At 38.4% G+C, this 26,440-nt stretch overlaps 1 protein-coding gene and 1 pseudogene across 12 annotated transcripts in view, besides 1 other annotated feature; one reads left to right on the top strand and one right to left on the bottom strand.

The window, feature by feature from the left end:
* Positions 1 to 26,440, top strand: part of CTNND2 (catenin delta 2) — a 932,611-nt gene that overhangs the window by 862,902 nt on the left and 43,269 nt on the right. For all 12 annotated transcript variants that reach the window (NR_109988.2, XM_017009074.2, XM_017009072.2 and 9 more), the window contains 2 exons: positions 18,566 to 18,776; positions 23,487 to 23,571. Coding sequence is in view for 11 of the 12 variants with exons in the window: in XM_017009074.2 (XP_016864563.1) it covers positions 18,566 to 18,776; positions 23,487 to 23,571 (296 nt within the window). In the remaining variant the exon portion in view is untranslated. The remainder of the gene's footprint in view (positions 1 to 18,565; positions 18,777 to 23,486; positions 23,572 to 26,440) is intronic.
* RNU6-429P (RNA, U6 small nuclear 429, pseudogene) lies at positions 14,239 to 14,345 on the bottom strand (annotated as a pseudogene).
* Positions 18,124 to 19,323: an enhancer, noted in NCBI's record as "BRD4-independent group 4 enhancer chr5:11022334-11023533 (GRCh37/hg19 assembly coordinates)". NCBI's record gives its function as "activates an origin of replication core promoter dependent on BRD2, P300/CBP, MED14 and CDK7 cofactors, and independent of BRD4, by STARR-seq in HCT116 cells {active_cell/tissue: HCT116}" and the evidence as "EXISTENCE:reporter gene assay evidence [ECO:0000049][PMID:35650434]".

Below are 26,440 nucleotides of genomic sequence, written 5' to 3'. Positions count from 1 at the left end.
TGTCACACAGGTGGTAAAGGCAGTCTATCCCTGTGAAAAGAGCTCAGAGGAAGGAGTCAGGAGGGTTAGGCTGGAGAAAAGAGCTTCTGCCTAAGAGACTTATGGTCACCAAAGCTCAGGAGACAGCTCTGTGACCTTTCCCATACCATTTAACTTCTATTTGTCTTCTAGATAAATTGGAAATTATACCTGCCATTTTTATATCCCTAGGGTAATGTAAGACACAAATGGAAATAATGAATATGAATGTTCTTAAAAAAGTTAGAACACTACATAATGTCATCTATGAGTAACAGCATATGAAGAAAACCAACAGATGATTCCCTCTCTCCATATCCTTAATTGGGTCTGATTTTTATTTTGGCAGAGGTGTAAATCAATTTGGAAAAGCAAGAATGAGGGAATGTGATTATATAATTAATCATTAAGCCATTGCAGTAATCAATGAATTACTGCTATTCCAATGTCGCTCAGGTTGGAGGACTAATTTCAGACTCTATTCCTGAAAACAAACTTTTCTTCAGAGAAACACTGATCTCATCTGTCTCAGACAGACAATTGTCTTCTGAAATTTTCATCTTAGGAGAGTTCTTGGGTCTTTGCTAGATAGCAATCTTGACCTAAAAATAAAACACCCTTCATAGGTTTCTCTCCTGAAGCTAGAATCAGTAAGTTTAAATTTTCATCATTCCTTTCTGCTAAAATTAGTCAATGAATTGAGATAATTATTTTTATGGTTATCATGCTTAATAGTTAATCAAATTATTTAAATCCTGTTAAAATGTATCATATTAGTTGCTTGCCTCATTTTCAGTATTTCTCAAAAATCAATTTATTTCTAGTTCAAAAAGGAACTTCAGCAAATCTCTTGTTAATTAACTGCCATTTTTATTTTTAGAACCATTCTTATACTAGTTAAATATGCATATCTCAGCCACCTTCTTGCCCACAGTTCTACTCATTTTCTTAGTTCTTCACACTTCAACAGTGTGAGAATTTCTCAGAATCTAATTCAGTGAATTCCCCTGGATGAGACAAGGTGCTGAAACATACAATTCCTTTTGTCTTCCAAACAGATGGAATAGGTTATTTATTTGAGTATAACAACTCTTGAAAGAAATGCATACCGTATGCCATAAACCTGTAAGATTCTGCCTCATTCAATGTTATTTCTTTTCAGAGGATTGAGTTACTCTTTGAATCATTTTCTCAGACTAACTGCTTACCAATTCGGGCATGTGAAATAGGATCTTATATGTGCTACAGGTCTGTGCTTTTTGTTTTTGTTTTTGTTTTTTTGAGACTGAGTCTTACCCTGTCACCCAGGCTAGAGTGCAATGGCGTGATCTCAGCTCACTGCAACCTCCACCTCCCGGGTTCAAACAATTCTCCTGCCTCAGCCTCCTGAGTAGCTGGGATTACAGGCACCCGCCACCATGCCCAGCTAATTTTTTCGGAGTTTTTTTTGTTTGTTTGCTTTTTTGAGACAGAGTTCACTCTGTTAACCCAGGCTGGAGTGCAGTGGTGTGATCTCAGCTCATTGCAACCTCTGCCTCCCAGGTCCAACTGATTCTTCTGCCTCAGCCTCCCAAGTAGCTGGGACTACAGGCACGTGTCACCATGCCTGGCTAATTTTTGCATTTTTAGTAGAGATGGGGTTTCGTCATGTTGGCCAAGCTGGTCTCGAACTCCTGACCTCATGCAATCTACCAGCCTCGGCCTCCCAAAGTGCTGGGATTACAGGTGTGAGCTACTGTGCCTGGCCTGTACTTGTTTTTTAAAATAATGGTTATTAGAAAAAAACATAAGGAACTTTAGTGTACCTTCTAGAATTTGTCTTATCCTCTGCCCATTGCAACTATTTGATCCCCTGGCTCCAGCTGGTCTCTTCTTAATATTCCTTCTCTCTCTCTTTTTCTATTTGAATAAATCTCTAATCAATTAAAACAACAGGCAGATTATAAAAGAAGATTCATTTTTTAAAAAAATCAAGGCATCTCTTGAAATATTTATTTGAATCTAGCAAGAGCAAAGGGGCAGATGTGGAGATGAACAGGTCCCTTTCTGGGAAAAGGGGACTGGTATGATCAATCCAGAGGGTTGGTGTTGCCACAGCCATCGTCCACTGTGTGAAAGGAAGACAGAAAGAAAAAGCATCAAGATGAGAAAGGGGTTTTCTTATGGATTGTTGCAGGGGAGCCAGAATTAAGACCAGCCGTCTACATTTAAAACTAAGTACAAAATTACCTTGGTTTGTAAGGTTACATTTAGTCAGGTCATGCTGGGCAAACAGCAGTTTTCTCACAAGGTAATCACATTGTCACAGATTGGTATTGCCAATGTCAGAGATGATGTTGATTGGGGAGTCTGCAACTGTTAGGAAATGGGTCAAAGATTCATTATTTGGGACTACAGTAGAAAGGCGATTGTGTGTTTTGTTTGTTTGTTTGCTTGCTTGCTTGCTTGCTTGCTTTGGGATTGTTTCCCTGAGCTTGGCTTTGTCCTGTTTCCCTGAATGAGGACTGTGACAAGCACATGATGTGCACGCTGCCATGACAGGTGCAGAGCTGGGTACTGGTTTGCCTTTACAGTTATAATGCTGACGTTCTGCCCCTAAAATAGATTTAACCACAGGTGTTTGGTTAGCAGTTTTCCTATTTGTGATCATTAATTTGATATGTTGTCTTATTGAACCAGCTGTATAGACATAGGTATAGCAAGCAGTGTTGATTCATTCACAAAGACCCCTTAGCATGGTTATAAAAATGAGAGCTATATGATGTTAAATCTTGAGGGTTAACTTTTGTTTTGTGGTCACTTTTATATCTGTGGCAGAAATATTTGATTCTGGATTGCTGAAATCAGTAATCCAGAACTTTCAGATTCAAAGTTCACCTCTTCCAGGTTTCACATCCACTACCTAGGTCTCAAAGATTATTCCATCTCTCTGAGCTCCAAGTTTTCAGTGCTCCTGGCCATACTGCCTGTAGAGTTGGGATTCCCTAAGCCAACGTTCCCCAACCTTTGTGGCAGCAGGGACCAGTTTCATGGAAGACCATTTTTCCATGGACTGAGGTCGGTGGGGAAGATGGTTTCAGGATGAAAGTGTCCACCTCAGATCATCTGGCATTAATTAGATTCTCATAAGGCGTGTGCAACCTAGCTCCTTCACATGCATTGTTCACAATAGGGCTCACACTCCTGTAAGAATCTAATGACACCACTGATCTGACAGAAGGCGAAGCTCAGGCTGTAATTCTCGCTCACCTGCTGCTCACCTCCTGCTGTGTGGCCTGGTTCCTAACAGGCCATGGACCAGTATTGTTCCATGGCCCAGGGCTTGGGGACCCCTGCCCTAAGCTACACAACATGAACCAAGCCAGTGTCCTGGGAGGATGGTGTAGGCATTAACCCCACATATGAAATGCACTCATTTTAAATGAGCTTGTCATGTCTAATTACATTATATTTCCCTTTAAATGTAACATCTCTGGCATGGTCATTATCACAGATTTGATTTACTCAATTACATTCTGGTAGGAAGGAGGACAGATTCTAGGTAAATATGAAGGCCTATGGCTAAAGAAAAACACCCAGATTAGTAATAATAATAGTTAAATAATAATGTAACTATTGCTTTCAGTTGTTGTATAGTTTCAGACCAATCAATATATGTCATGATATTTGCAGGACTATTATAGTTATTAGCTTTTCCTGATAATTTATTATCATCATCTGTTTTAAAATTTTTAAAGGATTTTAAAAATGAGTTTTGAAGGATTAATTAGAAGATACCATTTAAGGAATGTTTTATTCTAGTCTTTATAAGCATAACCTGTTAGATCAAGCACTGGAGACAGAGGAAATAGACAGAAGGCTTCTATAACATGCCCGATTCAAATCAGAACAGTAATCACAGCGAAATTTGTATCATTTTGTTGAGGTAATTAATCCTTGTTTTGTTGATCTTGGATTAGTAGGCACTCCACTTTCTCAAAGTTTTCTGCCTCCAGTGCAAACAAGTTCTGGAACTCCTGACTCAGTCCCTTGGTAGTCTTCATATGTGGTGGTGATATCAGCTGATATAGGGATGCGTGTAACTAAGATCCAATTTTCTATTCTATGAAGTGTCGAAAGAACTTGTTAGAGTCCTTTAATCGAGCTGTTGTGATGTTTCTTCCAGCAGCCATCAATACTGACGCATGGTTTTGGCAGGGGTATTTAGGATCGTGTGACAAAAAATCAGAAACCACCTGTTGGTGCTAAGGCTGAATAGGTCTGGTTGTTTACTCATTATAACCACTAATATCCAAATTGAGGCCAGTTTAGTTTCATAAATAATTAGTCAGTGACGGCCATGAGAGTGGTGAGGGCACAGAACAATCTCCATGGCCTTTTAATTTATTCCATCCAATGTGTGTTTGGATTACCACCAACTGAAAAGGCTATTTTAAATGTGGAAATGGGATCTTCTTTTAAAAAATTGTTGACCATTATTGTGCCATTCTTTAACATGAAGGAGAGTGTGCCTCTCTCCACAATGAAAAGGTCATCACTGCTGAAGCATAATCATAATGCTCATATTTTACTCATCATAATTAAGTGGTGGTTGAGCTTTTCATTTTTTCATGTCTTGGCAGGTCTTTTTGTATTGGATTCTTGATGAACAGGACAGCTCTCAACATAGTATTAAACCAAATAAAAATCTACGAAATGCTGAACATAGCCAATTATTTCTAGGATCCCTTTTCTCATAAAGTGAAGAAGAAAAATCTTTAGTGTCACCGGAAGTTTTCTGAGAAACCGCAAAGATGGTTTAGATGTAGAAGATACTTCTAAAAGTTGTATTAGTTTGAGGCCAGGCGCAGTGGCTCATGCCTGTAGTCCCAGCACTTTGGGAGGCCGAGGTGTGTGGCCAACGTGGTGAAATCCCATTTCTACCAAAAAATACAAAAAATTAGCCAGGCTTGGTGGTGGGCACCTGTAATCCCAGCTACTTGGGAGGATGAGGCAGGAGAATTGTTTGAACGCAGGAGGCAGAGGTTGCAGCGAGCCAAGATCGTGCCATTGCACTCCAGCCTGGGTAACAAGAGTGAAACTCTGTCCAAAAAAAAAAAGTTGTATTAGTTTGACTGTGGGGGTGCAGATTTGTGGAAGGCAATTTCAAAAAGAGTTATCTGGGATGCAAGATATGAGTGTAAATCTGGAGTGGCTGAAGACAAGACGTAACTTCAGCTTGGCTCAGAATGATAATATTTATAATAAAACGGTTAAAGAAGTTATTAGGAACTCTAGCATTTTCATAAGCAAGGATCTTTTGCTAAATATTAATTTAAAAGATTGAACTCTAGCATTTCCACAAGTGAGGAAATTTTGCTAAAAGTGACTCGAGAGTAACAAAAGCGCAAAAAAAAAATTAACACGATATCAAGTAGGAGGATTTTAGTGACAAAAGAAGCTCTTGTTCTTTGGGCACAGACTATTCTTCACAATTTCTTACTGAAAACAGAGTATATACTCAAATATAATCAGAGAGAAAACCCAACACTAACTTCATTATTTTTGTACCCTACTCATGTAACATTTGCAGTAGAAAGTTCACAGGCCTTTTCTCTATCTTGTAAGTAAACTCATCAAAATTACACAAACTTTATAAAAGACTGTGACACCTTTCATTGTTTTTTTTTTTCAAGTTCATTATTTCCAGGCATTATAAACCAAGACAAATAAGGTTCACTTCTTCTCAACCTTTCCATAACTTATTGCACATCCTCAAATATGTCTTAATTTTACATATTAACACACAGCCAGATTTTTTAACCTTAGACACACTTTCTTCCTCGATAAACAAAAATGCATTCCATTATCTTACAGACACATTCATATTATTTTACAACTATTGTACCTAGTACAGTGTAGTAGGCAGAATAATGTCCTCCCAAAGATGTCCAGAGCCTATTCCCCCAGACCTGTGGCTGTGCCACCTTACGTGGCCAAGGGGAATTAAGGTTTATAATCAGCTAACCTTGAGATAGGAAGAAGACCCTGGATTATCCCAGTGGGCCCAATGTAATCACAAAGGTCCTTAAAAGTGGAAAAGGGAGCAGCTGGAGGCAAATGAAAGGGTCAGAGCGATGTGACACAAGAAAGGCCCATTGTTGCTAGTTTTAAAGGTAGAAACAGAGGGTTACATGCCAAGGAAATCAGGTGGCCTCTAGGAACTGGAAAAGGCAAGAAAATGATTCTCTCCTAGAGCTCCCAGAATGCAGTCCTTCCCACACCGTAATCTACCCACACCCTAATTGAAGCCTAGTAAGACCAGTGTTGTACTTCTAACCTGCAGAACTGTGAAATAATAAATGTATCTAGTTTTAAAGCACTGAACCTGTGGTGATTTGTTACAGCAGCATTAGAAAACCAAACACCGCATATTCTCACTCATAGGTGGGAATTGAACAATGAGAACACATGGACACAGGAAGGGGAACATCACACTCTGGGGACTGCTGTGGGGTGGGGGGAGGGGGGAGGGATAGCATTGGGAGATATACCTAATGCTAGATGACGAGTTAGTGGGTGCAGCGCACCAGCATGGCACATGTATACATATGTAACTAACCTGCACACTGTGCACATGTACCCTAAAACTTAAAGTATAATAATAATAAATTTAAAAAAGAGGCAAAAAAAAGATCAACAGACCACTAGTAGTTAGCTTAACAAAAAAAACAAGATCCCAATAAACACAATAAAAAATGACAAAGATCACATTAAAAAAAAAAGAAGAAAACTAACACATGCAGCATCTACTTTTCATGAGTTATAACTTTGAAACCATGTAACTGAGTTGTTTCCTCACAGACATAGAGAAGGCTAGGAGACAGTTGCCTGTGTGCACTTGAGATCAGCTGAGATTCCAGAAAGCTGCCTGTGACTCCTCACAATGTCCTTCCTCCAACAGTCTGATATATTGTTTTTGTATTTCATGAATTAGCAACATGAACAAGTCCAGGACATTTGTACATTTGCAGATATTTGAAGCGCATATATGTGTGTGCCTATGTGTTTAGTGGACAGTGTTTTTTCAAAAAGAGGACACTAAGAATTTTACTCAGAGGAATTTGGTGGAGTAACTCAGTAACAGATTGTTGTGGAATTCCCTAAGGTGAAGAAGAGCGACTCCTTCATGAAACAGCAGTTATTACAATTCAATCTAGCTGAACACTCGTTAACCTTTTTAAATGTTTAAATAATAATATTAGCTTATCTGTTTAATAAACCTAGAATTGGAAATCTTAAAAATTCGTATTATTAAAAATTGAGGAAACAAACCTAATCTTTTATAAAACAGATCATGCTAACAAAAGATTTATGAAATGATAAAACCAGGGGAAAGACATCTCTGTTTTTCCCCTAATATTATCAAATCAGTCTGATTTTGCAAGGATTTCCTTTACCTGAAAATACTGCATCAACTCTTTTTACCTTAGATACTAAATATTGAAACCTCTTCAAATATCCTTAAAGGTCCTGAAGTGTCTTAGTACTATTTTTTACCTTGTCTTTGCTAACCTGGTATCAACTTTTATTTCTTTGCTTTAAATTTTTTAACCTAGCTACCAAGGCTGTTAATTTAATTCATTGTGAAATTTCTTTGTGTTTTTCCTTGAAATAAGCTTTTGTGAAAGATGTTGTTGTTGTTGTTGCTGTTGTTGTTGAGACAGTCGTACTCTGTTGCCTGGGCTGGAGTACAGTGGCATGATCTCAGCTCACTGCAACCTCTGCCTCCCAGGTTCAAGCGATTCTCCTGCCTCAACCTCCCGAGTAACTGGGATTACAGGCTCCCGCCACTGCACCCAGCTAATTTTTTTTATTTTTAGTAGAGACAGGGTTTCACCATGTTGGCCAAGCTGGTCTCGAACTCCTGACCTCATGATTCGCCCACCTTGGCCTCCCAAAGTGCTGGGATTATAGGCATGAGCCACCAAGCCTGGCCAGATTTTTATTTTTTTTCTTAAAGGACCAGCAACTTAAAGCATTCTGAGAGTATTTTCATTGGCAATTTTTTAGTTTTCTTGTTGTAATTACATATACAAGGACTTACTTGTTTACATAAGCCAATCAAATTGGGAGCTCCATTTATCAGTCTCATCCAGAGAATAGAAAAGTTATACCAATTTCTAGACACAGAAAATGTTTATACACATACAACAGAAGAATCCCCAGCAAACTCTTGGGTAAGCTGGAGGATTCAGGAACTTCTGACTGGATGTCTTCTTATCTCATATGTGCTATTTTTTTGTAATCCTTGTCAAGTCCATTGTGGATTGAACCAGGGGATACATTTTAAGATTTATTAACACCTTTTTGTCAGCACATGTTTATTGGCATATTTCTATATTTCTGTGTGACTTTTCTAATTTTTAACTTTAAAAAAATTATGGATTCACAGGAAATTGCAAAGATAGTAAGGAGGGGTCCTATGCATCCCTCAGCCAGTTTCCAGCAATGGCTATATCTTATGTAACTATAACACAATAAATCAGGAAATTAACATTGCAGTATATGTGTACAGTGTCATCACATGTGTGGATTTGTGTAACCATCAAGGCTATCAAAATACAGAATTATTCCCTCAACCCAATGATATTTGTTGTACCATCTTGTCATAGTCACAGTCTTCCTAAGTATCCTAAACTCCTAGCAATCATTAATTTGTTCTCCATCTCTATAATTTTGTTATTTCAAGAATGTTATATAAGTGGTATCTTACAATATAGAACCTTTTGAGACTGGCTTTTTTCACTTAGCATAATACCATTCAAATCTTTTCACGTTGTAGCACATAGTGTTCCTTTTGATTGCTAAGTAGTATTCCATGTATTTTGTTTTAGGGGAAAAAAAAATAAGCACTCAGAACCTTCCAGATGTTTCCAGAGGTCAGAGATCTCCGGACAATCCAGAAGAGACTTTTCCCACATTAACAAGCATTCAGACATTTTCAGTAACTAAGCAATACCATTTTGAATGCTTCACCAATTTGGTCTGTAAGCCACACTAACCAGTTTTAAAATATATATTTTTTGCATATATTTTTCCCCTTTGATGATAGACTGTGTTTAAATTAGATATATTTATAGTGTGCAAATGACAGATTTCTATAAATTAAGCTCCAAATACTTCCCAAAAGAGAAATGAGAGACAAAACATTCCAGCATTGTAAACATCAAACAACCTTTTATATACAAAAGGAAAAAAACCCTTTAATCCTTTTCACACTAACTTACAGACATCCAATCACATGGAAATCAGCTCCTCACTTTTATATCATCAATTATTGATGAAAAGTAAATTCAGAGACGGGAGAGGATTCTAGGCTGATGGAGAAGTAGGAAGCACCAGGAATTTGTCTCACCACCTGGACACAATCACATTGGCAGAATCTGTCTATTAGTCAGGATTCTCCAGAGGGACAGAACTAATAGGATATATGTATATATGAAAGGAAGTTTATTAAGGAGAATTGGCTTACATGATCACAAGGTGAAGCCCCATGATAGGCCATCTGCAAGATGATGAAGAAAGAAGCCATCAGTGGCTCAGTCTGACACCAAAAGTCTCAAAAGTAGGGAAGGACAACAGTGCAGCCTTCAGTCTGTGGCCGAAGGCCCAAAAGCCCCTGTCAAACCAGTGGTGTAAGTCCAAGAGTCCAGATGCCAAAGAACTGGAGTCTGACGTTCAAGGGCAAGAAGCATCCAGCATGGGAGAAAGGTGAAAGCCAGAAGGTTCAGCAAGCCATCTTATCACACCTTTTTCCACCTGCTTTTGTTCTAGCCATGCTGGCAGCCGACTGGATGGTGCCCACCCACCTTGAGGGTGGGTCTGTCTCTCCCAATCCACTGACTCAAATGTTAATCTCCCCTGGCAACACCCTCACAGACACACCAGAAACACTACTTTACCAGCCCACCGAGGCATCCTTCAATCCAATTAAGCTGACACCTAATATTAACCATCACACTGATATAACTATTTTGAAACTCTGGAGTCTATTGAAGACTTAAAAATTTCAGAAGGCTTGGACAGTAAAGTACAGTATATTTGGTCAATCTCAGCTTAGCTCACAGTAGCTACCCATCCCCCACCCCTCAGCCCTGTAGCAGGCAGCTGTGCACATGTTCCTAGAGCAGCTTACTTGCAGCTGGCAGAAACCAGGGTTGACACAAAAGACCCCGTCCTCTAAATATCGTGGATCTGTTCTTTCTGCTGATTGCTGCTTCTCACTACAGTGACACAAACACAGAGGCAAGCAGCCATTGTTGCACATACCCATACCATGATTGCAAGCCCCTCTATCTTTGGCTGAAGTTATTTTCAGAGGATTTAAAGAGCTGACACCGTCACCCTCCTCATCCACTTTATGTTTTTCTTTTCCCTTTTTGGGAGCCAGTCATTAAAGACTAGCATATTCAAAAGCAACTGCATATACAAGAGAAATAAGAGAGCCAGTATGCATGCCCAGGGAAACTCTCATGCTCAGAAAACATCTGTGAAGATCTTAAGGCTAATTCTCAACACAGAGACAGCCTAAAACAGTCAAAAACAAAACAAAAACAAAAAATTACAAACCCTGGAAAAGAGGAAGAATCTGATTTCCAGATAACCCATTATTACATTCAAATTTTCAGTTTCAACAACAATAAAAAACCACAAGGCATACAATGAAACAGGGAAGTATGACCAGTTCAAGGAAAAACAACAAACAAACTAAAAAAAAAAAAAAAAAAAAACAGAAACCATAGCTGAAAAATGGCACAAAGGTAGATCTACTAGACAAAGACTTTAAAACAACTGTTTTAAAGATGTTCAAAGAATTAAAGGAAGATATGAAGAGAGTCAAGAACATGATGTGTGAACAAAATGGAAACATAAATAAAGGCATAGAAAACCTAAAAACAAACCAAAAAATTTAGAGCTGAAAAGTACAATAATTGAAATGAAAAATTCACTAAAGAAATGAAAAGGCAGATTTGAGCAGGCAGAAGAAAGAATCAGCAAAGTTGAAAGACAGGAAAATTTAAATTACTGACTTTGGAGAACAGAAAGAAAAAAGATCGAAGAAAAGGAGCAGAGCTTAAGGGTTCTGTGGACATCATCAAGAAGATCAAATACACACTACAAAAGACTCAGGAGAAAAAAAGTGGGAAAGGGATAGAGAGATTATTAGAGGAAATAATGGCTGAAAACTTACCAAATTTAACAAAAGGCATAAATATAAACATTCAAGACTCAATGAGATTCAAATAGGATAAGCTCAAAGATACCTAGACTGAAACACATTACAATCAAATTGTTGAAAGACATAGATAAAGAATCTTGAAAGCAGAGAGAAGTGACTCATCACACACAAGAAATCCAAAATAAGGTTATCAGCTGATTTTTTAATCAAAATTTTGAAGACCAGAGGTAGTAGGTTGATATAGTCATGGTGCCGAAAGAAAAAAAAAACTGTCAGCCAAGAATCCTATGTCCAGCAGAAGTGAGGGAAAACTTAAGACATTCCCTGATAAACAGAAACTAAGAGAGTTCACTACCACTAGACCTGCTCTGTAAGAAATCCTAAAGGGAGTCCTGCATGTTGAAATGCAAGAACACTAAACAGTAATTCAAAGGTATAAGAAGAAATAAAGATCTTAGTAGAGATAAATACATGGGCAATTATAAAGCTCATATTGTTTTAACAATGGTTTATAATGCTACTTTTGTTTTCTACATAATTCAGTACATTTAAGAAAAAGCAATTACTAGTTTAAAGGCTAGCATTATTGTGACTTTGTTTCCTAACTCCACATTTTTTTCTACATAATTAAAGAGAAATTTTCTACATAATTCGTTTTTAAAAACCAATTATTTATGTTTTTGGACACACAATGTTTAAAGATGTAATTGTGTGACATCAATAACTGAAAAGTGTGAGATGGAACTGTAAATGAACAAAGTGTTTGTATGTTATTGAAGTTAACCTGGTATAAATTCAAATTATAATGGTATAATGTTAAATGTAATCCCTGTGGTAACCACAAAGAAAATCATTAAACTATATAGACGAAAGAAAATAAGGAAATTAAAACATTTCACTACAGAAAACAATCAACACAAAGGAGATAGTGGTGCAGGAAATTAGGGACAAACAAAAAAGCTACAAGGCATATAGAAAACAGAAAAACGCTAGAAATAAGACCCTTTTTATGAGTAATTACTTTAAATATACATGGATAAACTCTCCAATCAAAGACAGAGATTGACAGAGTGCATTAAAAAAATATGATGCAATTATATGTTGCCTACAAAAAACTTACTTTAGATTCAAAGACAGAAATAGATTGAAAGTAAAAGGATATTTGTACATCCGTGTTCACACCATTATTCTCAAGAGTGAAAATGAAGTATCAACCCAATTTTTCGTCAACAGAAGAATAGCAAAATATGATATATACATGCAATGGAATATTATTCAGTCTTGAAAAGAAAGTTCTGTCTGGGTGCAGTGGCTCACGCCTGTACTGCCAGCACTTTGGAAGGCCAAGGTGGGCAGATCACTTGAGGCCAGGAGTTCAAACCAGCCTGGCCAACATAGTGACACCCTGTATCTACTAAACATACAAAAAATTAGCTGGGTGGGGTGTCACATACCTGTAATCTCAGCTACTCAGGAGGCTGAGGAATGAGAATTGCTTGAACCCAGGAGGCAGAGGTTGCAGTCAGCTGAAATTGCACCAGTGCACTACACCCTGGATGACAGAATGAGACCCTGCTTGGAAAAAAAGAAAAAAAGAGTGTACATTCTGACATATGCTACAACATGGATGAACCTTAAGAACATTATGCTAAGTGAAATAATCCAATCACAAAAAGACAAATCCTTTATGATGCCATTTATATGAGGTACCTGGTTGTCAAATTCAAAGAGACAGAAAGTAGAATGGGGGTTTCCAGGGACTGAAGGGAAGGGTTGGGGAGTTGTTTAAATGCTTTTAAAGTTTCAATTTTGCAAGATGAAAAGAGTTTTGGAGATATATGATTGTAGAATGATATGAGTCTACATAATATCAATGAACTATATACTTAAAATGGATAAAATGGTAAATTTTATAAGTATTTTACTGCAATAAAGAAGTTTTTTAGAAAAAATAAACTCAGAGCACCTCAGCAAAAACCCACAGATCAGTTTTAGCAGCTGCAGAAACAGGAGGGCCATAGAACTACTTAAACCTCGAAGACAAAGGAGTTGTGATGTTTCTCATCCGGGGTTGCTCTCCAGTCCAGCTGACCTTCTGGAAAAATATATTTTCTCTAATCAGTTTGAGACATTTAAGTTTATAATGGTGCACAACAAAGACCATCTACACATAGGACTCCATCAGTGATCAGAAGAGATCTATAGTAAGTGTAGGAAGGAACTCAAGTGACTTCCCTGTTGTCTGCTGCCTTAGAGAATGCAGGTCTTTAGACCATAAGACCACCACTCAACATTCCTGCCACCAATGCGAAAACCAAATGGTAGTATGCACATCAGTAACAAATACAGGCTTAGTTCAGAAATAGAAACAGAAAGTCACAAACACAACATGGAAACCGAAGCAGTCAACGAGAGCAAGGCTGTTACCTCATCATGAAATCCCCACCAGCTCCTTTCTGCACAAGCGGTCTGCAAGGAGTGCCTTTCTTGGGCAACATGGTTTGTTAGGTCTCCTGAGTGAGTCCCTTGGGGTACCTTGGTGTGCCCAACAATGCTTAACAGAAGAGTTCGAGAATGAAGCACTGTAAAGAGAAAATAATCTTTACTTGCAGTTTTTCAAGAAAATCTGGATTTAGAAAACTGGTTCACCAAATACAAAATACAGGTATTTGAAGGAAACACACACACACACACATACACACAGTGGAAAGGGTAGCAAAGTTACAAGGTTTCAGTTAGTCCATCATTGATGAAAATACAGTCCTTTTTCTGCACAATTATGTTATCACCAATGGTAGTCTCTTACCAGTATTGCAAAAATCAGACATATAGTCATTGTTACTAGAGACTAAGTAACTTAAAAGAAATGGCCCAAGGATTCATTTCTATTGGGAACTGTAGCAAGAAAGAGTGACTTTGTTTGTGGTAGTGGTGGTGGTACAGTCTTGTTTTGTATTGTTTTGATCTGACAAAGAACAAGCTTTTCTTTTTAAAAAAACAAAAGATGGAACGCCTCACAAATTTATGTATTATCTTTGCACAGGGGCCATGCTAATCTTTCTCTGTATCATTCCAATTTTAGTATATGTGCTGCCGAAGCGAGCACCATGATTTCCCTTTTTCAGATGTGAGTCCATGATAGTGGATCGTTGGTAGCACATTTATTCAAAATAGAAGCAAGGCAAGGTATCCACTTTGCTTTCATAAATCCAGGTATTCTTTGAACCTGATGACCTGCTTGTCTCTCTGACGGGATTTTGGTACGTGATTCTCTCATATAAGTAATATAACTAATTTTGCATGTTTTTCTTTGTGTGGAAAAATAACATTCAATTTATCCATTAATATTAAGCTTTAAAATTCACTTGGTTTTTACTACCCTCTGTGTTATTCCCGCGTGAAATCTCTGAATCCTGTTTCCCTGCATTACCTCAACATTTCCCTGGGCTCCAAGCCCTGTCAGTTGCTTCTTAAGAATTTCCATAATGGCTGCTCTCATGTCCTTGATCCTCCCATGACCACCTTTTTGTAGTCACAGGTTCTTGTTTGTTCCTGAAATATTATAGTTTCCTGCCAAATGAATGAATCACTCTATTATTTTCAGTCTGTGTCATATCTTTTAATCAAATTAAATCTAGAAGGTAGAGTCAGCTGTGCATGGTGGCTTACACCTGTAATCCCAGCACTTTGGGAGGCAGAGGCAGGCAGATCACTTGAGGTCAGGAGTTTGAGACCAGCCTGGCTAACATGGTGAAACCCCATCTATACTAAAATTCAAAAGGTAGCCAGGTGTGGTGGCATGTGCCTGTAGTCCCAGCTACTCGGGAGGCTGAGGCAGAAGAATCGCTTGAACCCAGGAGATGGAGGTTGCATTGAGATGAGATCATACCACTGCACTCCAGCCTGGACAACAGAGTGAGACTGTCTTAAAAAAAAAAAAAAAAAAAAAGAAGAAGAAGGTGGAGTAGTCAGCTGGAGCAGTCATCTATTTGCAGTGGTTACTGGTGCCTGCTCCTTTTGAGGGCCTAAGCAGGTCATTCCAAGACAGGCACTTCTTCTGCCCCATGCCAGGCTCAAACACAGGAGGAAGCTTATGCTCTGCATCCACAGAGAATCTCAGTGCACCACAGGACCACAGCTGGGCTCTAGGTGCCCTTTCTGTCCCTGGGACTGTGAAGAACTGCCCACAACCTCCACCTGGTGATCCAGCCTCTTTCTTCCCCAGTCCTAAAAGAACCCTACCTCCATCCATTTCTCTCTCTAAAAAGAAAAGGAAACAATTTGACCACCTTGATGGTGTGAAACTATAAAAAAAGTTTGAACCACCCACTTTGCAGTTTCCTGTTGCCAATGTGATACAAAAAAAGGGAATTAACTTCTTTTACCCTCTGAAGAAATCTCAGACCTCAAAGACCCAAAAGTCTGCCTGAAACAGTAGAAGGAGAGGAATCAAGATTCCTCCTACTGGGCAGCAAGAATAGCTTTTTAGCTCTTTCAAGTGTTTAGAAACTTAGGTTAAAAAGAAAATACAGGATATGGAACAGTTATAGAAGCACACTACCTTGAGTTGTAGTGCTTATAATTTCACTAGAAGTCTAGAAGAAGAGAACATTATTGTCAAGAAAAAGACTATGTTTCTTCCACCCTCAGTTTTACTATTCTGAAACCTTCCTTCTTAATGCACCAGAATTCTTTTTGTAAAATATCAAGTTGTTCTTGTTGCCCCCTTGACATACAAGAAAAAATCCTAAATGTACACCTCCTGAATCAAGCCTTCCATAATAACTCCAGTCCTATCTAACTTGTCTCTTCCCTGAACTACTGTTATAAACATACAACACAAGGTCACTTGCATCTGTAATTATTCTATGTCCCACATTTTATTATTTCCCTAATCAGCTTCAAAGTTTCTAAACACTAGAAAGAGCTAAAAATCTTTTTTTGCTACCCAAATTTCTTGTGAAGATAGGATTTAAATTTCACTGTAAAAAGACAGCATTTTTCAACACATAATCAAAGGCTAAAAAAGAATTGTAAACTTTTAAAATAATTAACAAACTGCCCCGAGGTTTTCTTCTCCGTGGAATAATATTACCTGATTTGTTTCTTTACTTGGATGGTCAAAAATTTGGACTAAAATATATTCCTCCAGATAGACTGATAAATAGTAGACTGATAAATAGACTTAATGAAAAATCTCCAATTGCCTAGTAAAATGTCAGTAACCTATATTGGAAATACTAGAAATAAGATAAATCCAATGAGTTTCCTCGACAGTAAAGTTGGGGTAAGTTAAATATAACAGTGACTCCTGGTCTTTTCCATACCATGGGGCACATGGAAAATGATAGTACTTGAATGGCACATTGGGGTGAGTGGAAGAGGCTGCTCTGCAGGGGTTGGGTACCCTGCCATCTACTTATTATCTATAAATAAACTAACATTACAGGGAGACCCGCATCTTAATCAGGACTCAAGGATTGGAAAGCCATGGAGGATGAGACTACATCTTCATATTTATCTGACATAATTTTCAAAATGATAATACCAACAAAACTAAAAAATGCTACAGCCAAATTCTTAACCCTCTCTTCATTTTTGGTTTTAACCTTGACAGTGTCCAAGGTCATGAAACCAGTCCTCCATACACAGTCAAGGGTGTAAATGTCCCCGTATATACAATGACTGGAGTATTTTTTCAGTTATTTTGCCCTTCCTTCATCACTTTCCTTATAAGAAAAAGGAAAAAGGAACACATTGATCATTTCATGTCTGTGGAGCTCAAATTTGTCTTCTAATGGTTTGTGGGGGTTAATGAACTGGTAGAATCTCCAGCATGCTGAGCCCTACGAAAGTAAACTCTTAACCAGAGTTAAGGCTGATTTAATGATAAATAGATAAACTATTTTAGGTGCTGTCATTAGAAAATAAATATGCTACATTTGGGGGTTTGCAGGCAAACCATTTTTGTCAGACACTTCCTCAGCTATCATCAAGTGAATGAACACACTTTTCTATTTCAGTAATTTAAGTATCAGCATTTTCTCTCTAAGCTAAAATAAGCCACCTAAACATAGGATAAGAGCAGATACCAAAATTACAAGGGCCTGTGTTTTATGTATCACTGCCTGGAATTAAGATATCATCGCCTACTCCCACAAGGTTCCCTTCCTGCTGCCAGGCACCATACACCAGAGAATTAAATAGCAGAAGAAGACTATTATTTATAGATATGTACATGGAGGTGAAATATTTCAAACAGCCTTTAGGAGCTAGCTAAATGTGCCTAATTGGGGGATGGGAGACAAGAAAGGGATCTAACTTTAGGCACTTGCCAATTCCATCTGAAAAATGTGAGAACAGCCAGCTTTGCTACAGGCACTCATTTACTTACTTCCAGAAGTCAATTAAAGGAGCAGAAATGGAAGCTGCAGGTGGGATAAATTAATTGTCTTGCAGGGCTATTGGTAATGCCTAAAGTGCTTTGTAAACTAAAAGTACTCCATAAATATGTCATTATAAGTACCTTTGTCATTGGGAATAGTAAGATTAATAATGTTAAAGTGAATTAAGGAAGCAGAATTGGATTGTATTATATTTTTCACACAAAAACACACCAAATTAGTAAGTGTTACCTGGTAGAACTACACAATAAAATCCCATCAGAGAGACAAACAGCATCAGGTTACTATAGTTCAGAGGACACATAGTTATAGATTGTCAAGTACCTCTCTCCTGCTTTCAGTGTTTCTCCTTGCTTTAAATGAATCAAAGCTCAGTACTCACATATGTGATCATGTTCCCCACACATTTTTGCTTTGACTGTTTTTAAAAAATACAGGCCGCAACATAGCTTTCATTAAGGTATTTTTGAGGGTTATGTTAGAATTCCCATACATTTTTCTTGACTTCTATAAACATCAAGCAAGAACATAATAATAGCTAATACCTATGGAGTCCTGTGTCCTTGTTCATTTCCATACATTCACTCATTTATGCTTTACAGCAACCTTGTATGGCAGGTACCATTATTGTCTTCCTTTAGAGATTGAAAAAACTGAGGCTTCAGAGGCATGAAATAACTTGGCCAGTGATTTGATCCCAGGTCAATCTAGCAGCAGAGTGGATGCACTGCCATGAGGAATGACTGTTTTTCTCTGTAGATGTGTGTAAAACTACCCAATAGGGAACATTCAGTGATGGGAAACAAACAATTTTGCATAAACGTGGCCTCTCGTATTCTCTTCTCCCCCATACCCACCTCTGCCACTATCTCTGCCTTCACCTTGACCTCCTTTCAACTCTTCTCTTTATTTTCTTTTCCAGGCAAATACGCCATGCGAGACCTAGTCCACAGGCTTCCAGGAGGGAACAACAGCAACAACACTGCAAGCAAGGCCATGTCGGATGACACAGTGACAGCTGTCTGCTGCACACTGCACGAAGTGATTACCAAGAACATGGAGAACGCCAAGGCCTTACGGGATGCCGGTGGCATCGAGAAGTTGGTCGGCATCTCCAAAAGCAAAGGAGATAAGTAAGTTACCTGGTGACGCCATATCTCTGTCCTGGTAAAATTGGTTCTGAATGTGCCTTTCAACTCCTGATGACGGGTAGTACTATGACTGTCACTGGAAAGCATTTGTCTCTGAGAATCAAGAGAAGGAAAATGGCAAATGGTTTCCAGTCTTCTCTCTTACTGTTGGTAAAATGGACTTGACGATCCAGCACACCCATGTGCTCCTTCCACATGGCAGCGACACGAGTTCAACCTGGATACATGAAGGTATTTTGTTGTTGTTCCTCTGTGGTGGGAAGTCCGTGTGTTGATGATGTCTCTACATCCCTCTGCTCTGTGCCTCTTCAGCTCTGCAACCAAGTCAGGTCCACCTTACCAACATCACAGTAGCCACCAAGTCATAGCAAGTCACCATGCAGGAAGGATGGGGGAGGAGACAGGGCATGATGGAGTCAGAGAACTCAGTTCTCATCTAGTACCCTCCCTTACAAGCTGTGAGATGTGGGGCAAATATTTAATTTAACAAGTCACTATGCCTATACTTTCCAATCTAAACCTAAGGGAGAGGCTGTCACAATATGCTAGCTGGAAGAGTTGATAATCAAATCTTAAAGAATGAGTAGAAATTTCCCAGGCAGTGCAGATAGTGGTGAGAAAGGAGGGCCTTCGTGCAGATAGAACAAAAAGAGATGAGACTTGGTGTCAAAGCAACTGCACCTCCTTGAATAAGAATGCCTCCTAGTTTTTAAGAACCAACAGTATCTTACTATATACAGCTGGAAAATAGCTTCACAAGCCAGCGCATCGGTATATCAGCAAGGTGTCAATTTTACAGAAACCTTCACTAACCTTAATTAAATTTTGCCTCTTGGAAGTCCCTCGATGTAATTAAATAAGATTAAAAGGGTAAACATTTTGTTATCAAGAGTCTATTTCTTGACTTTTCATTCCCTGCCAAGCCACCCCCACCCCCCATTCTTTTACATGTAAATGCTAAATAGTTTGTTGTTATTAAACACTTTGAGGGACGCACTTTGAAACTTTCTGGAAATTCTGTCTCATTATTTCACTTAATTCAGGATAGTACCAATGTATTATAGAAGATTCGGAGTTTCTGTTTAAGCACCCAGAGACCTCCAAATAGGCTCAATCAACAATTTTGCATTTGGATTTGAATGTTTTCTCATATTAAGTAGAAAAGCCCCACTGGACTCATATAATAATTGCGCAGTGGAGACTGTTGGCTTGAGCTATATCTTATGATATTGTACTTACAATAAAGTGCTATCCTACGTAGGCAGGAAACCATATGGTTTTCTTCTTTATTTAGCTTCAATAGACCTTTGGAATCTCTAATTGAAGTGCTTACCTGTTTTGAGCATTAAGATCTTAATATGGTAATGCTTTCTTGAGCATACACACCCACACACACAATAAAACCGTAGTCTGCAAAACAATCTGATATATTCTTGTCTATATTCATGAGACATTCAAAGATTAAAGTATTTTCTCTGAATTATACAGTTAGAGAGCTTTGAGGAGTGGTTTGGCATATATTAATTCTCTCCAACTTTATGAGCATTCCTACTGCAATAAGCATCACTAAATGGGCCTAAAGAGAAAAAAAAGTTTTATTGAGTCCTATGGTCAAATAAAATTATTTGGTGAAACTAATTTACAAATCACTCGAAGAAACCATCTATGAAATGATATTACAAATCACTTGAAGAAACCATCTATAAAATAATACAGATCCATGTTGCTAAGGTCCTGATAAGCCAGGTCCAATCTTGATTATTGTTAATGGGAAGATTTTTTTCACTAAAGATGATCTCATAAATGCCCTTTAATTTGGCTGAAAATTTACTTATAGAATAGGCGCTCATTCTGTCTTGTTGTTCCTTTATCTCTTTTTCCAATGCCAACAGCCTGGATTTACGAGTTTAATAAGAAGTGTTAAATTGGATTGAATCAAGCATCTTCCTGGTTACAGTTCTCCTGCTTAGTCAGTCTCATTCACTGTTTCATGTAGCTTATCTCTTTTTTTATATATATACTGACTAATTTGGAGATCAAAACAAGGTTTTTATAACTACATTTATCCTCGTCTCCTACCTACACTTCAGTTTTATTATTGCTTTTCACTGCTCTTAAAACAAAATGAATTCAGGAGAATTGCTCCAAATTTGAGCATGAAACTCACCATTTCTGACTCAATTCTATTATAATAGTAGGTATGGAGATTCCCATGGACTTCTAGACAAATTTTAAGGAAATAGAATTTATTTATTGAAAATCAAATTTTTGGAACTGAGGATAATTTAATAATTGGGAACGGTAGGTATACAAATACACCATAGCTTATTTATAAAATGATTGCTAATTTGCCCACCCTAAATTATTCCTTAAAAACTTATTTCTAGAAATAAGTTCAGTTCAAACCTGATTTTTATTTGTGATAGTATGGGAAAACACAGATGGAAGAAACGTGCCTTGCTATGATGCTCTAGTTTATGTATTTATACATGTTCTTTATATATACATATATATATATACAAGCTTAAATGTGCAGTGATGTTAATGAGTCAGATTGGCGAGTTGCCAATCACAGTCTATCAGAACTGCACAACTCACAGCGTCTGGCGGACACAACCAAGGGGGCTAGTGTTCTGTGATCCCACCGCTGGCACAGCTGTGTTGACAGCCACAATGAACTGCACCAACTGAAGTCCTCACCACCCCTGATGTGACAGCTCTAGTGAAGATCAAACTCCAATTGTGTAATTGTTATTAACTCTTATAGTAGTCTTATACTCGCCATTTTGAAATCTTAATTATTTATTCTTTTCACATCATTTTAAACATACATTATGGACATTCTATCATGTTCATCTGTCTCAAGAATACATTTGGTTTTTTTTCCCCAATTTTAACAGTTATATGGGAAGTAGTGTTGAATGTGTCACTATATTTTGTCATAAGACGGAAAAGCTATTAACAGTCTTAACTGTTACTGTCAGTAAAGAACTGTGTATTGTGGCTTGGGTTATAATCACTTGTCACATTAGAAACACACAATTGTCCAAGCCCTTCAATCAATATTTAGAAGAGTTTTTCAGGTAGAAATTTCCATGGCATCCATCTAGTGAATGCATCAAAATTAAAGTCTAAAAAGAAAGCAAAGTTTCTTTAACCTTCACATGTTAGTATAACACTGTGATGTATTGGCATTTTAATTGAGAGGTTAAAACCTGCTGTTCGTTACACATTCACAGTCTCTTTTGGTTTTGTAACTATGCAAAAGATAGAAACAAAAACTACACTTTTGTTTCTACTCAGAAGCATTTTTGCACACTAATTGTATTTCAACTACACTATCACGACCTGAATATTAATATATGTTTTTCTAGAGTTGCTTGGCTATTGTCATGAACAAATATTTAGCTAAATGATAAAATACAACAAAACATCACATTTAATCTTTGTTCAGCATCGATTATATGAGAATGAAATGCAGCTTCATCTGGATTCATGAAAGGATCTAAAATTCTCTGTCTTTAAGTCAAAGGAATTACAGGCATACCTTAGAGATATTGTAGTTTTGGTTCCACACTACTGCAATAAAGCAAATATCTCAATAAAGCAAATCACACAAATATTTTTGTTTATGTTGTAGAAATATCTTCTTTCCTTAAAAGTCATTAATCAACTTCTGCTAGCTTTAAACTTTTCTCCTGTAGCTTTTTTACCTCACCAAGCCATCATATAATTAAGAGAGTTGGCTGGGCACGGTGGATCACGTCTGTAATCCCAGCACTTTGGTAGGCTGAGGCGGGTGGATCACGAGGTCAGGAGTTCGAGACCAGCCTGACCAACATGGTGAAACCCCATCTCTACTAAAAATACAAAATAGCTGGGCATGGTGGCACACGCCTGTAATCCCAGCTACTCAGGAGGCTGAGGAAGGAGAATCGCTTGAACCCGCGAGGCAGAGGTTGCAGTGAGCCAAGATCTCGCCACTGCACTCCAGCCTAGGCAACAGAGCAAGACTCAGTCTCAAAAAAAAAAAAAAAAAAAAAGAGTCAGGGCCTTGCTGTGGATTGGGTTTTAGCTGAAGGGAATGTTGTGGTTGATATGATCTTTTATCCAAACCACTCAAACTTTCTCCATATCAGCAATAAGCCTGTTTTACTTTCTTATTATTCGTGTGTTCACTGGGGTAGCACTTTTAATTTTCTTCAAGAACTTTTCCTTTGCATTCACAACTTGGCTCACTGTTTGGCACAAGAGGCCCAGCTTTTGGCCCGTCTTGGGTTGTGGCGTGCCTTCCTCGCTAAGCTTAATCATCTCTTGCTTTTGATTTAAAGTAAGAGGCGTGCAACCCTTTCTTTCACTTGAACACTTGGGAGCCATTGTAGGGTTATTAATTGGCCTAATTTCTACATTGTTTTGTCTTATGGAAGAGGGAGGCCTGAGGAGAGAGAGGAGGAAGGGCCAGTCTGTGGAGCAGTCGGAACACACAATATTTCTTGATTACGGTTGCTGTCTTAGGTGGGTGCAGTTCGTGGTGCTCCAAAACAATTACAGTAGTAATATCAGGGAGCACTGATCATAGATCACCATAATAGATATAATAATAATGAAGAGGTTTGAAATACTACAAGAATTACAGAAATGTGACACAGCTGTCCCACTCACATCTTGCCTTTCCTGTCTTTTCTTCATCAGACACTCTCCAAAAGTGGTCAAGGCTGCATCTCAGGTCCTCAACAGCATGTGGCAGTACCGAGATCTGAGGAGTCTCTACAAAAAGGTAAGGCTGGCTTCACCTGGGCCCTGAGTCCAAACACTCAACACGGGACCCTGAGAGGCGTCACAGACGTGGAGGGCACTTTCCCACAGCCTCAGTCATTGAAACACAACTGAAACGAGAATCAGTGAAGAAGCCAGAAAAGAGGCAATGTGTCCCCTGAGTAGCTCCTAAGATCCATGAACTTTCTGGACTGGACAGACCTGTGCTCACAGGGTCTTACCCTAAGTCATCTTACAGAAAAGAAAATAAGCTCATTTTCCTGAGCTTCAGTATTCTACAGTAGACTAACAAGTAATGACAGAGGGATTTTGGGGAAAAAAAAATCAACAAATGTTAACAAGTAATTTTGGAAATATATATATATATATATGGAAAGATATATATATATATGGAAAGATATATATATATATGTATATATATCTTTATATATGGAAAGAGAGAAACAGAGCACGTAATTCAGGAAATCAAGAACCACTGCAAACTAGGAACACTGAATAGGAGACTCAACTGTCTGGCCCACGTCACTAAGCCCCTGAGAACCTCACAGTGTTACTGGCCAGAAGGAAAAAGACAGTGCTCCCAGTGACAAACGTGGATCACCAAGATGCTCGGCATTTGTTCCTCTCACAAGGCAGGCAGGAATTCATATCGCATACCTCCAAAGAGTCTTCACCCCCAACATGGCTCAAAAATCCCTTAAGAGAAAAAAGTCACATCTAGAAAGTTTTATTCAAGGCCTCATTTCCAAAATCTGCTCAATAAGGGGTGCCTAACTTTTCCTTTTTGGTTAGGAGGGGAGAATTTTTTTTTTTTAACATTTCCCAGAAGTTGTTGTTTTATTGTGACAAGGCCAGCAAGCATGGGAGTTTAAATTCGAGTTAACAAATAGGGGTAGAAGGCCATGTGCAGTGGCTCACACCTGTAATCCCAGCATGTTGGGAGGCTGAGGTAGGCAGATCACCTGAGGTCAGGAGTTTGAGACCAGCCTGGCCAACATGGTGAAACCCAGTCTCTACTAATAATTCAAAAAAAAATAAAAAGCTCGGCGTGGTAGCAGCGCCTGTAATCCCAGCTACTCAGGAGGCTGAGGCAGGAGAATCACTTGAACCTGGGAGGCAGAGGTTGAGGTGAGCTGAGATCGCACTACTGGACTGTAGCCTGGGCAACAGAGCGAGACTCCATCTCAAAAAAAAAAATATATAGGGGATAGAGGACATCACCAATAAGCGGGGAGAATGGCATAGGCATTGGTTTCCATGCAGGGATTCAGGAAGCACAAACAGGACTACAGAAGGGTGCCTGGGCTTCCATCAGCAACTGCCCACAGCACCCACCTGCAGCCCCCTGGCCACTTGCAGGGAGTGGGAAAGCCAAGATCATTGCTGCCTCCATCCCCATCTATAGCCCCCATCCCCCAGGTCACCGGCCACTCACTGGCCAGGGACGTGGGACCACAGTAAGGGGCTCACATCATAGGGAATGAGACCCATCTTGCCAGAGGGAAAATTTGTATTTTTCTAAGCAATGGGGGAAAAAAATATTTAATAGCTGTCTCAACTAAGTTAGAGTCTATTTCTAGATTTCCCCCAAGGCCTTTCTAACTTCCCTTAACTATTCATTACTTTGCACTTGAAGTTTTATAAAGTGTAGCCTATATATTTCTCTTTCAAAATTTTCCTGTTCCCTAAGAGGAAGTGTGTTTAAGTTGAAACAGAATGCAAAATTAAGTGGAAGTTCTAGATCAATGAGAGTCATCCCTCAGTATACACAGGGGATTGGTTCCAGGACTGCGGCAGATAGCAAAATCCGTGAATATTCAAGGCCCTATGGAAATTAGTCAGCCCTCCTTATACATGGGTTTTGCATCTCGCAAATACTGTATTTTTTATCTGCATTTGGTTGAAAAAAATCTGCATATTAGTGGACCCACAGTGTTAAACCCATATGGCTCAAGGGACAACTGTTAAGTCCTTCCCAAAGCATTTCATATAATGGGTTAGCATAAGCCTTTTATCTACAATGTTTTGGCTTCCATTCTATTTTGTTTGAAATTCCTATCCCAGCCTCCTTAGTTAATTCCTTCTTGAATTCCTCCAGGAGGCAAATGAAGTCTCGCCCAGGAAAGAGTCCTTCAGCTAAATAGGCAGCCAGAAATGAGGAACATGGTATAAATTAGAAAGGAACTGGCCATTCTGAATCAGTGGCTCCAGAAGCTCAATGAAATATTACTGCCTGAAATAAAACCCTCTTTCCTTTAGATCCTGAACGTTTCCTGTTTGCTGAAATAAACCTTCTGATACTTCTGTGCATTGAAGGGAAGCAGCTTTTAGACACTCTCCAGGCTCTTTCTTGAATAGTCATATGAGTCTTCCATCTTAATGTTTTTCATTGTTGTTAGTAGAGTTCAAAAAGCATAATTGTCTGTCTATTTCCATGAAAAAAAGAATGTGTTGACAGGAATTTAATGGAGCTAAAACTCAAGAGTTGAAGATGCTTAAAATATGTTTCATTTGAAGAGATTCAAGAAGGATGGACTGGACAAATGAATGGTGATGTTTTCAGTGGACCCATGATTTAAAAATATCGAGAAAGAGCTGTTCTTAATAATTACCAAATTATGCAGTTGTGAAATGAAAGGAAGATCTTTGTGCCCAGTGTCATAAGTGCTGCTAATAGCAAAGCTCAAAATTCAAAAAAGCTTTCCTTTTGAAAAGCTCCTTTGTGAGAAAACCAAATTCATTCATCTTTATGAATTGTTTTTAATCAGTGGGGAAATAGATTTCTATTTTGTTCTTCACTGACAATTTGCATATCATTGAAAAAATGTCTGATCCATATCTTTTAATTATCCATGCTTCGAATCTATTTA

This window comes from Homo sapiens, chromosome 5 (assembly GCF_000001405.40).
Source record: "Homo sapiens chromosome 5, GRCh38.p14 Primary Assembly".
Taxonomy (NCBI): domain Eukaryota; kingdom Metazoa; phylum Chordata; class Mammalia; order Primates; family Hominidae; genus Homo; species Homo sapiens.
This window is presented reverse-complemented; position numbering and strand designations above follow the sequence as displayed.